General features: G+C 53.7%; 4 annotated features.

Annotated features, from left to right (window-relative positions):
• Positions 286-787: an enhancer, noted in NCBI's record as "H3K4me1 hESC enhancer chr22:23792825-23793326 (GRCh37/hg19 assembly coordinates)". NCBI's record gives its function as "activates a minimal SCP1, AML or CMV promoter by ChIP-STARR-seq in naive H9 embryonic stem cells {active_cell/tissue: H9 hESC(naive)}" and the evidence as "EXISTENCE:reporter gene assay evidence [ECO:0000049][PMID:30033119]".
• Positions 1,334-1,980: an enhancer, noted in NCBI's record as "H3K4me1 hESC enhancer chr22:23793873-23794519 (GRCh37/hg19 assembly coordinates)". NCBI's record gives its function as "activates a minimal SCP1, AML or CMV promoter by ChIP-STARR-seq in naive H9 embryonic stem cells {active_cell/tissue: H9 hESC(naive)}" and the evidence as "EXISTENCE:reporter gene assay evidence [ECO:0000049][PMID:30033119]".
• Positions 10,029-10,563: an enhancer, noted in NCBI's record as "H3K27ac-H3K4me1 hESC enhancer chr22:23802568-23803102 (GRCh37/hg19 assembly coordinates)". NCBI's record gives its function as "activates a minimal SCP1, AML or CMV promoter by ChIP-STARR-seq in naive H9 embryonic stem cells {active_cell/tissue: H9 hESC(naive)}" and the evidence as "EXISTENCE:reporter gene assay evidence [ECO:0000049][PMID:30033119]".
• Positions 10,207-10,362: a silencer, noted in NCBI's record as "fragment chr22:23802746-23802901 (GRCh37/hg19 assembly coordinates)". NCBI's record gives its function as "represses an EF-1alpha promoter that drives an FKBP-Casp9 reporter gene in an ReSE screen in HepG2 liver carcinoma cells {active_cell/tissue: HepG2}" and the evidence as "EXISTENCE:reporter gene assay evidence [ECO:0000049][PMID:32094911]".

Consider the following 11,231-nt stretch of genomic DNA (forward strand, 5'->3'; position numbering starts at 1 on the left):
GCTGCCAGGAGTCCTCGGTATCCCGGTCTAACAGGTTGTGTAGACCACGGTAGCACCAGCCATTTTCACGCTGTACCCAGCAGGCTCAGCACGGTCTTGACGTTATCACGCCCGAACTTTGGGATACAGATCACTGCTGCCGAGGTCATGAAGCCAAGCTGGGACTGTGCTAACCCCAGGGCTGGGACTGTGCCGGCCGCCAACCCCGCCCGGGGCTGGGACAGTGCCGACCGCCAACCCTGGGGCTGGGACTATGCTGACCTCCAACCCCGGGGCTGGGACTGTGCTGACCTCTAACCCCGGGGCTGGGACTCTGCTAACCTCTAACCTCCAGCAGCACCCGCTGGGATGAGGGCACACATTACCCAGGTTTATCACCTCTGGACCCTGATGCCATGGTCCAAGGCCTTCAGCCCCTGAGACTTTTTAGGGAAGGGAGGGCAGCCCTGGCCGTGGAGGCTCGTGCAGAGTTGTGTGCATGGTGAGACTGCCCAGCACTGTTCACAGGCGCTCAGACGGGCACCGCAAAGACCCGTGGACAGACAGAGCTGTGCCCCACCTGGGATTCGCACAAGCCCAACCTGGGTGCCCTGGCCACTGGGTGCCGAGGGGCATGGGCCCGTGTCTCTCACACCTCAGCAGCAGCCCTATGACAGGTGGCCTCAGCGGACTCTGCTGTGGCCACCTGACCAGCGCCACCCACCCCAACCAGCTGGCTGGGCTCACGCTGTGACCCACGCCTGGCGTCTGTGGTGCCACCAGCCAAGATGCCAGCCATGACGCCAGCGTGGCACCCCAAGCCCAGGACATCTGGGGCAGGTGGGTGGGCAGCACCGGCCTCAGCAGCCCACAGAGGGGCCTCCCACAGAGTGTCTGGAGACGCTCCAGGCAGACGGGCAGACGAGCAAGACGCCTGAGGGTTGCAGGCCAGGTGGATAAGGATTGGGGCTTGCATGTGTCCGCAGTGGGGAACCCGTGTGCTCAGCGGCCTGTCTCGAAGCTGTTCCGCTCTTGCAGATATAATTTAGATATACATTTTTCCTAATTACAAATATGCAGCATATAAAAAAATCTGGAAAATGCAGAGAACCATGAGTCACTTTCCATCCCAACACTCCGAGTTAACCGCCATTAACATTTTGAAGATTTTCTAAGGGTCCTTTTGCACTCTGTGAGTGTGGGTGTGAGAGTGTGTGTCGTGCTGCAGTGTGAACTTGAAGGGTTTTCTCACCCCTGAAGTTCAAGGCTGACTCTCGGCGGACGCTGCTGAGTCTTCTCCCCGGCTCGCCCCATGTGTGCATGAAAGTGCCTGGAATGCGTCAGATTCTCAACTTGAGAAGCCCGGAGAGTCTTTTGAAGTTGAAAACACTGATTTCCTTACAGCCTCAAGACAAAAAAAAATCTCCCCTTCGCTGGCTTTGAGAGCAGGTGTCTTCTACAAGCGAGGTTCACAGGGACCTGTGGCTGCCCCGGCAGATGCCAGCCAGGCACGCCCATCTCCTCTCCCACGGGTCCTGGTGGGGGAGCCTCTGTGGGAAGCCTGGGGGCTCCGGGGCCTGGCAGACAACCAGTCCTGCTGCAGCGAGGTGGGGACAAGGCCGGGAGCAGCTCACTTCCCAGTAGAGGCCATCCGATGGCACCAGGGCACGGGGCAGCTGCCGTCCTCATGGCCCGGGGTAACGTGGGCACAGGGTTTCCTCATCCCACTGTGCTCGGTGTCTCCCCTGAGCCCGGTGATTTTACGCACCTGACTTTGTTAGTCTTCTCGGCAATGCCCAGCATGCAGACCAGGCTCAGAGAGGTGTGTCGGTGTGCCCAGGGTCACGCAGCTTCCTGGTGGCCAAGCCGAGGTTAGAAGCTAGTTCTGGTGGGTGTGAAAGCCCCCGACGTCGGCAGCTCTGCCACCAGGCCCACACAAGCAGGTGGTGTAAGAGGGGAGGTGTTGGGGCCGGCAGTGCTCAAGTCAGGATCGAGCCGTCTATCTGGAAGGTCGTCGAGGGTGTGTGGTGGTGGCTGGGAGGTGGTGGCAGGCTAACTACCTGCCGTTTTCCTGCAGTGCCTAGGCCCAGGAGAGGGAGCAGCCCCCAGTCAGGACCCAGCTGCAGGACACCCCATCCTCATGCACCTTGCTTCCCGCTCTCCCTCCCCCCACAAATGGGCTCCCAGCATAACTTCCCCCAAGGGCTCCTTTCCTCTCCTCTCCCCACACACAGCCCTGCTCGGGAGTGGCGCTTGCAGCACACCAAGGACAGGAGGATTGGGCTTCAGGGAAGCAGGCGCCTGGAGCTGTGTCCAGTTAGGTGCATGGCGCTTGCAGATCTGAGCATGGAATATTCATGCCTCCCCCAGCCCAGCAGCTGCGGCTTCTCATCTGGAACAAGGGGGTGCTTCTCCCAGGAAGGCCAGTGGGAGCAGGGGTGTGTCTGAGAACGCCGGGCGCTCTGCCCTCACGATGGCTGCTGATGCCACAGCCCCGGCCTCTGTGCCCAGGCCACTCTCCAGCCTGGTGAAGTCTGTTCTGGGAAAAGAGAGAAGCAAGACAGATGTGGGCCTTGCCCTGTGGGGCCAGGGCACGGGCAGGAATCCCACTTGGGGTTAAGACGCTGCAGTCACCCCCCTCCGGGTTCTGTGCACTGGCCCCTCCAGGTGCTGGGGTCCTCTGTGGCCGTGGCGTTCTAGGAGAGATGGGCAGGGAGACGCTGGCGCCCTGTTGTGTAGCTTGTCCTTGTGTCTGCTTCACAGGCTCTTCCACTGTGCAATTTCCTAAAATTTTGGCGAGGCCCATTTATCCATTTTAATTTTATTCTATGGATTGTGCTTTGGTGTTGAGTGTCAGAGCTCTGCCTCATCCAGATCCTGAAGATTTCTTTTTTAAAATAATTCTGTGTTTTACATGTAAGTTCATGATACAGTTTGAGTTAAATTTTATATGAGATGTGAGGTTTCGGTCAAAAAAAAATTTTTTTTTAACTAAGTGTGTCCAGCTGCTCCGGCTCCAGCTGTAGCAAAGACAAGACTGCCCCTCCTCCACTGAAGCACCTTTGTGACTTTTTTGTGACTTTTCTGTATCGATTAATAGGATCATATGTTGTTTATTCTTTAGCCTGTTGATATAGCAGATTACATTGATTGATTTTCAAATACCAAGCTAGCCTCGTACACCTAAACTAAGTCCCACTTGGTCACGGCATAATATTCTCTGTTAGAAAGTGGCCTGGACACGTCTGTGGGTCTCTTTCGAGTTCCTCTGTTCTGTTCCGCTGGTCTCCACATCTCCCCTCCAGCGCTGCCCCAGCCATGTCTGTCTGATGTAGGAGCTGTATAACGCTGTGCTGTAGCTGTACAGTTCTCAACATCAGGAAGGGCAATTCCCCTACTCTTCTTTTTTGGAATGGCTTTCCATATACATTTTAGAATAATCTTGTGTCTCTCTACCAAAAAAAAAAAAAAAAAAAAGATGCTGGCCAGGCATGGTGGCTCACACCGGTAATCCCAACACTTGGGGAAGCCAAGGCAAAAGGATCGCTTGAGCCCAGGAGTTGGAGACCAGCCTGGGCAACACAGGGAGACCCCATCTCTATGAAAAAAACACAGCCATGAGTGGTGGTGCGCACCTGTAGTTACAGCTACTTGGCACGTTGAGGCAGGAAGATTGCTTGAGGCTGCAGTGAGCCAAGACCACACCACTGCACTCCAGCCTGGGTGACAGAATAAGACCCTCTTTCCAAAAAAAAAAAAAAAAAAAAAAAAAAAAAATATATATATATATATATATATATATATATATGCTGAGGTTTAGACAGCAATTACCTTAAAACCAAAGATCAATTTTGGAAAAATTGATTTACTATAAGTCTTCCAGTTCATAAACATTGTATCTATTTATACAAACATTCTTTTGATTCCTTTCATCAGTATTTCCTAACTTTCTGCAAACAGACACTATACAAGTTTTTGTTAGATTTATACCCAAGTATTTAAGATGTTCTGTAAATTATATTGCCTTTTAATTTTGTTTTTCACTTGTTTGCCATTGCTTTATAGAAATGTGGTTAATTTTTGTATGTTCATCTTATTTCCTGCAACCTTCGTGAACTCACTTAGTGTTCGAGGAGTTTTCTGCAGATTGCTCAGGATTTTCTACATGGGCTGTCACGTCATTCTAGGAGTTTTCTGCAGATTGCTTAGGGTTTTCCACGTGGGCCGTCACGTCATTCTAGGAGTTTTCTGCAGATTGCTTAGGGTTTTCCACGTGGGCCATCATGTCATTTGCGAGTAGGGACAGTTCTGTTCTTTTCCAATCCCTATGCTGCTGCTTTCCTTTTCTTACCTGCATGCCCTGGCGTGAGGAGCTCCCATGCTGGGTTGAGGATGAGTGGGGAAAGCCAGCTCTCCGCTGACCGAATGAGGGAAGGCGGCCAGACTCCTCCGTGAAGCAGCGTGAGCTGAGGGTTCTTCATGGTGCTTTTTACCAAGTCGGAGGACTTTCCCTTGATTCCTGCTTTGCAAGAGTTCTTGTCAGGAATGGAGATTAAATTTTGTCAAATGCTTTGCCTGTGTCAATAGGATCATATCATTGTTTTCCTTTAGCCTGTTGATAGGGTGAATAACATTGATTGATTTTCAAATTTGAACTAGCCTTCGTTGTACACCTAAACTGAATCCCACTTGGTCAGGGTGTGATACTCTTTTTCGTAGATTGCTGGATTCCATTTGTTAGTACTTGTTGAGTATTTTTGCATCTAAGTTCATGAGAGACTGATACTTATTTTTCTGTGTGTGCGCACCATCCTTGTTGGTTTCAGTACAAGGTTAATAGTGGAAAGGTGTTTCCCTGTCTTTTGTTAACTGAAAAAGGATTGTGTAAAATTGGTATTAATTCATATTTAATGTTCGGTAAAACTTTCTAGTGAAACCATCTGGGACTGGAGATTTTGAGTAGCATTTTAATTACAACAAACTCGATTTATTTAATGGTTATAGGACTACCGAGGCTATTTTATCTTGGCACGTTTTGGTAGTATGTGGTTTTCGACGAATCCGTCCAGTTCGTTATGAGCATCAAGTTTTGTTGTAGTATTTTTTATTGTTATTTTAATAGCTTCTGGATCTATTATAATATTTCCATTTCATTTCTGATATTGGTCATTTCACTCTCCCCCCTTTCTTTTTTTTGAGATGAAGTCTTGCTGTGTTGCTCAGGCTGGAGTACAGTGGCATGATCTCGGCTCACTGCAAGCTCTGCCTCCTGGGTTCATGCCATTCTCCTGCCTCAGCCTCCCAAGGAGCTGGGACTACAGGCACCCACCACCACACCCAGCTAATTTTTTGTATTTTTAGTAGAGATGGGGTTTCACTGTGTTAGCCAGGATGGTCTCGATCTCCTGACCTCGTGATGCCCTGCCTTGGCCTCCCAAAGTGCTGGGATTACAGGCGTTCCCCCTTTTTAATCTTTGTCAGTTTTGCGAGGGGTTTATCAATTTATTGTTGCTGGTCTTTTTAACAAATTTTTGAGACAGGGTTTCACTCTGTTGCCCAGGCTGGAGTGCAGTGGTGTGATCATAGCTCACTACAGCCTCAAACTCCTAGGCCCACGTGATCCCACATACCTGGGGCTACAGGTATATGCCACCACACCTGGCTGATTGATTATAGAGATGGGGTCTCACTGTGTTGTCCAGGCTGGTCTCAAACTCCAGGGCTCAAGTGATCCTCTCACCTTGGCCTCCCAAAGTGCAAAGATTACAGGTGTGAGCCCCTGCTCCTGGCCGGCCTTATTGCTATTTTTTAAAGAACCAGTTTTTGGTTTTAATAACTGTCTTTTGTTTTCCTATTCATTCCTACTTTTATTATTTCCTCCTCCTGCTTCGGGCTTGTTTCTCCCTGCGTTTCTTGAAGTAGGAATTTAGAGAAGCAATTTGAGATCTTTCTCCTTTCCTGATACTGGCATTGAGTGCTGTCTGTTTCCCTCTAAGCACTGCCTTGGGTGCGTCTGGCAAATTTCATTATGCTGTATTCTTGTTTCCATTCTGTTCTCTTTTTTATTTCCTTCGAGGCATCCCATTTGACTCGTGGATTACTTAGAAGTGTGCTGTTTGATTTCCAGGCACTTACAGTTTTCCTGTTGTCCTTCTCTGACTGGTTTCTGGTTTTGATGTCCACTGGTGTGGCCTCCACCTCTTCACACCACCCCACAGATGAACAGCATTCACATAACTTCCCAGTATCTCGAAGTAGCATCGTTTCCATTTCCTGCGTGTCTTCTCATTTTACTGCATTATTTCAGCTTTGCTTGTTTGAGCCAGGATTCAGGGCTTCCTTCATTCCATCTCTAGCTTCCTCCCCTTGAGTTTCCCCGTTCATGGAGTTTCTCTTGGACCCTCAGCAGCAGGGGGTCTTGTTCTTGACAGGAATCCCTCACACTTCCCCCTTGGCCTCCGAGCCCCACCACATCCTGCAGTTGGTGGTGTGTGGAGAGAGGCGCTGTCTCTGCTCTCCAAGCACTTTGTCAGCCTCCACCCCTCCCTCACTCCGTGCCTCTTGTCCGTGCCCGCTGGGACACCATGGGGCTCGGCTCGGGATGGTGGGACCAGCGCTTAGTAAGACCCCTCAGCCCTAGGCACCGTGTGAGCACTGCTCACGTGGCAGAGCTGGAATGGGGGCCGGGCACACACTCCCTGGCCCACGTGTTCCACGGACGTGCTGCAGAGGTCCCCGGCCCTCCAGGGCAGGCCCTCTCTGCTTCCAGAGGGGCAGGTGAGCCCCAGGCCAGGCCAGGCCAGCCGGGGTCTGGACTGGAGTGCAGTGGCCACAATGGACGCCGCGAGTGTCTTCATTAAGAGTGAGTGTCTCAGTCTCCCCCAGGGCACCCGCCAGCCACATGGCCGCTATGTGTGCAGACTAGACAGGTGGCAGCTCGGGCCGGCCAGACAGAGGGAGAGGAAGCCAGAGCCTGCGCGCAGGCAGCCTCATAAATATTTCCAGCCACAGCCAACGTGTCTTACTGACAATTTGCTTTTTAAAAAATTGCGCTCTAATTTTAAGTGAGCAGCCCCTAATTACAGTGATTTACGAGGTACCTGGGGACTGTGTGATATTTGAACATGGCAGAGGGCTGAGCAGAGATGGCAGAGATGGATGGGCCCGGTGCCACTCATTCAGCAGGTCCTGCTAATGCCGGAGTGTTGGACCGAGGTGGAGCCTCCCAATGCGGCCGGGTATGCTGGGGGAAACGGAGTCAGAGGTGGGCTGCACGGCAGGTCGACTTGTTCACAGGGGGCTGGTGTTTTGCAAACGCTGGGTCTGCCTTCGTGTAGGGTTTGAGCTGGGAGAGTAGCACTGGTCACTCCTGCCTGTCTCCGTCCACCCCCACCCCCACCTGGAGGGCAGTGCGGTATCTTAGGGCGTCATTCTTCCAGAGCCGCCTGAGGCCAGCAGAGAGGAAGTGCTGTAGGAGCCGTGAGTGGGCGGCCCGGCCTACCATTGGGAGCAGCTGTCTTGCTGATGCTGGCAGGGTGCACCTGTTTCAAATAAAGAATGATCAGAGATCACACCTGTAATCCTCACGTCATGAGCAGCTGAGGCAGGAGGATCACGTCAGGCCAGGAGTTTGAGACCAGCCTGGGCAACATAGCTAAAGCCTATCTATCTCTCAAAAAAATTTAAAAATTAGCCAGGTGTGCTGGCACATGCCTGTCATTCCAACTGCTCAGGAGGCTGAGGTGGATCACTTGAGCCCAGGAGCTCGAGGCTGAGTGACCCATCATCATGCCACTGCACTCCAGCCTGGGTGACAGAGTGAGACTCATCTCTAAAAAAAAATTGTTTTAGAAATGAACAGCCAGGCTCCCAAAGCCTGCCAGCCTCTGAGGGCCGGGGAAGGCGGGTGCCTGGAGAACAGCTATTCTTTGGTCCAGCCTGGCCAGAGTCTGCACCACAGTGCCCCAGGCCCAGCCAGGTTGCCAGCCCTGGGTTGGGAGGAGGGCGAAGGGCCGGCTAAGGAGACTTCTTCCCACACTGCCTCCCCACCCCTGCCCAGCAGCTGCAGGAGAATCAGCCCCTCTGACATTTAGGGGGAGAAATTCAGAATCAAGAGCAGAAGGCAGAAATGAAAGGATTTTCTCAGTGAAAGGTCAGAGTGGTTTCTCTTGTTTTTGTTTAAAAATGGTTTGTGTTGAACTATGACAAGGCCAAATGTACTAAGGCAGCAGAAACAGGGGGAGGGCAGGGGGAGGGCACGGGGACGGCTCCTGAGAAACAGAGGAACAGGTCAGGCCGCAGGGCCTCGGGGGCAGCACGTGCTCCAAAGGTGGTGAGGGGAGGGGCGACACCATCAGGGCAGGGCCCAGCCCAGGCATGCTCCGGTGGACAGGGGAGCTGCCAGGACCAAGCTGGATGGAGCCAGGCCGCCCTGTGGCTCCTGGGGAGGGTTCCCAGAGGGCTGCCGGGCGAAGGGAGTCCTTTCCAAAACGGTTTCCTGAGCTCTGATGCACACACATGCAGCTCACCCCCAAGTCTAGCGTTCCATTAGTCTACCGTTCCGTTCTTCCCAGCACATTCGGTGCGCAGCCGCGACCAGTCTAACCGTGGCACCTTTCCACCGGCCCTGAGCCCTGGCGTGCCCCTCCACGACATCCCCTGGGCACGGAGTTGTGTCGACAGGTCTCTGTGACTGGCTGGGCATGTTTTCGGGGTTTGCCCGCGGGGCAGCGTGTCTCAGAGTTTGGCTGTACGAAGCGGTGTTGACGGGTAAACCCGGTTTTGTCTCTCCCTCCGGCGGTTGAGGGCTGGTTCCGCGTTCCATCTGTTAGTGATGGGATCGTGTTGCCGTGGACGTCCGTGCCGAGGTCTGTGTGTGGACAGCGCTCAGACCCCCTGGCTGCGCGCCCGGGCGTGTGCTGGGCCCATGGACTCTGCGTTCAGCTCTTTGAGGAGCCGCCGGCTGTTTGCAGTGGCCGCATCACACACGCTCCCGCCAGCGACGCGGAGGGTCTGATTCCCCTCGACCCAGCAGCTCATGGTGTTTGCTCTCAGTGGCCGTCGGCGCGAGGCGGGTCCGTGTCTCGCTCAGTTGAGGTTCACGTTTCCCCGGTGCCCGGCGTCCTGGCATGAGCTCACTGGCCGTGTGTGGCTCTTCTCTGGAGAAATGTTCAAAGGCCCCTTGTTTAATCGGCCCTTTCCTCTTCATGGTGGAGTTGTGGGAGTTCTGGGCATATTCTGGGTACAGGACTTTTCAGGGACGTGGTTTGAGAGGGAGCTTTGTGGTGGGCTGGGTTTGTGTCCTGCCTGACCTGGGGCTGTGTGGGTGCTGACCGGGGTGGGGCTGGCTCTCGGGGGCAGCTCAGAAGGGCCTCTGTCCACTCCCCACACAGCCCAGGACTGTGGCACAGCAGCTTGCTCAGACCTGCTGTGTGACCTGAACCCTGTGCCTCCTGCCCTGTGTCCCCTGGGGCCTGCAGCGCTGTCTGGAAGCTCCTCCTTGCCCGTTCTCCAGTTACAGGAGGCCTCCCTCTGGGCTGCAGAATCCACAGAGCCAGACGCCCCCTGGGCCCCCAGCGCCCCCCTGCACAAGTGGGGAAACTAGGTCATGGGGCCCAGGCAGTGTGGAAGGCGTTGCAGGAGTTGCCCAGGGTGTGGGGTCCTCCAGCCTCAGTGAAGAGTGGCACTGGGGCCTGTCACAGGTGGGGGCACAGGTGCTGGAGCCCCCCAGGTGGAGGAAGGAGCAAGGTGGCAGCCCCTCGGGTGGGCACACCCTGCAGTGCCTGGGACCCCCAGCTGCCTGGGTAGATGACAGTGTAGACAACAGAGACCTTGCCCTGGGTTAATTCAGTCCCTTTAGGTGACCTGGAATAAGGCCTGGCAGGGTTGAGGACGCATCTACCCCTGTCCAGGTCCTCAGACTGAGGGAAGCCCCCATGGCTGGAGGAGCTGTGTAGGGAGGGAGGGGAGAGGGAGAGGCCTGTCGGGCTGACCGCTGTCTTGTCTCTTGACCGCCCCGCAGGCCACCAGGCCCTCGGGTTCCAAGATGCAGCTACTGGAGACAGAGTTCTCGCACACCGTGGGCGAGCTCATCGAGGTGCACCTGCGGCGCCAGGACAGCATCCCTGCCTTCCTCAGCTCGCTCACCCTCGAGCTCTTCAGCCTCCAGACCGTGGCGTAGCCTGCGCCTCGGGGGCATAGCCAGAGCCACTCTACTTGGCCTGACCTGCAGGTCCCTTGCCCCGCCAGCCACAGGCTGGGTGCACGTCCTGCCTCTCCAGCTCCACAGGGCAGCGGCATGACTGACAGACACGCTGGGACCTACGTCGGGCTTCCTGCTGGGGCGGCCAGCACCCTCCCCACGTGCAGACCCCATGCGTCCCGGAGCCTGGTGTGTGGGCGTCGGCCACCAGCCCGGGCTCCTCACCTTGTGAAATAAAATCTTCTCCCCTAGACACTCCCACTCGCCCTGTGTATCTGTGGCCTAGCCCTAGCAGGGTAGGCGGGAGGAGGGGAAGGAGCTCCCTCAGCAGCCGCCGCCATCTGCAGACCGGACAACGTTAGGGTGAGTCAGGCATTTCCGCTCAGGGAGTGCACAGGTGGCAGCTGGGACCAAGGGTGGCTGGGGTGCCCCCCCACCACCATGGGCTGAGGCCCCTCCGCGTAGCAGCTTCCAGCTCTGCCTCAAGGCCGGGCCCCAGCTCTGGGGCTTCCCTTTGCTGATGGAACCCGGATGGAGGCACAGGGGCTGGGGGGACTGTCCTCACAGATAAGGGTGCATCGAGGAGAGACTGCCCTCTGTGCCCATCTCTCCAGGGCCATAGAAATACATTCCATAGACCTAAGCAGTATTTGAATTTTTATAACAATAGCATATGTGTTTCTTATGTGATTTACTAGAAACAATTTAATTTCTCGAGTTGTAAAAAGGTGTATTTTAAACCTGTGTAAAGGTACCTGGAGATCATTGTCATTCAGAATAACAAAATAAAACAGCAATATAAAAACACAGATATTATCATAGTACAATGTTAAATACTATAATATTCAAGATGATATTAAAATTACATATATCTACATCTATATGCATATAAGGATGTCAATAAATGATATTAATGTCTAAAATTAAATTGTAATTTTTGCAGACCTCTGTGAATATATTAGAAACCATTGAATTGTACACTGTATGGGGGTGAAATTTATGGTATTTAAATTATATCTCAAAGTTCTGCTAAAAAATGAATGGCTTGATA

Source organism: Homo sapiens, chromosome 22 (assembly GCF_000001405.40).
Source record: "Homo sapiens chromosome 22, GRCh38.p14 Primary Assembly".
Classification (NCBI taxonomy): Eukaryota; Metazoa; Chordata; class Mammalia; order Primates; family Hominidae; genus Homo; species Homo sapiens.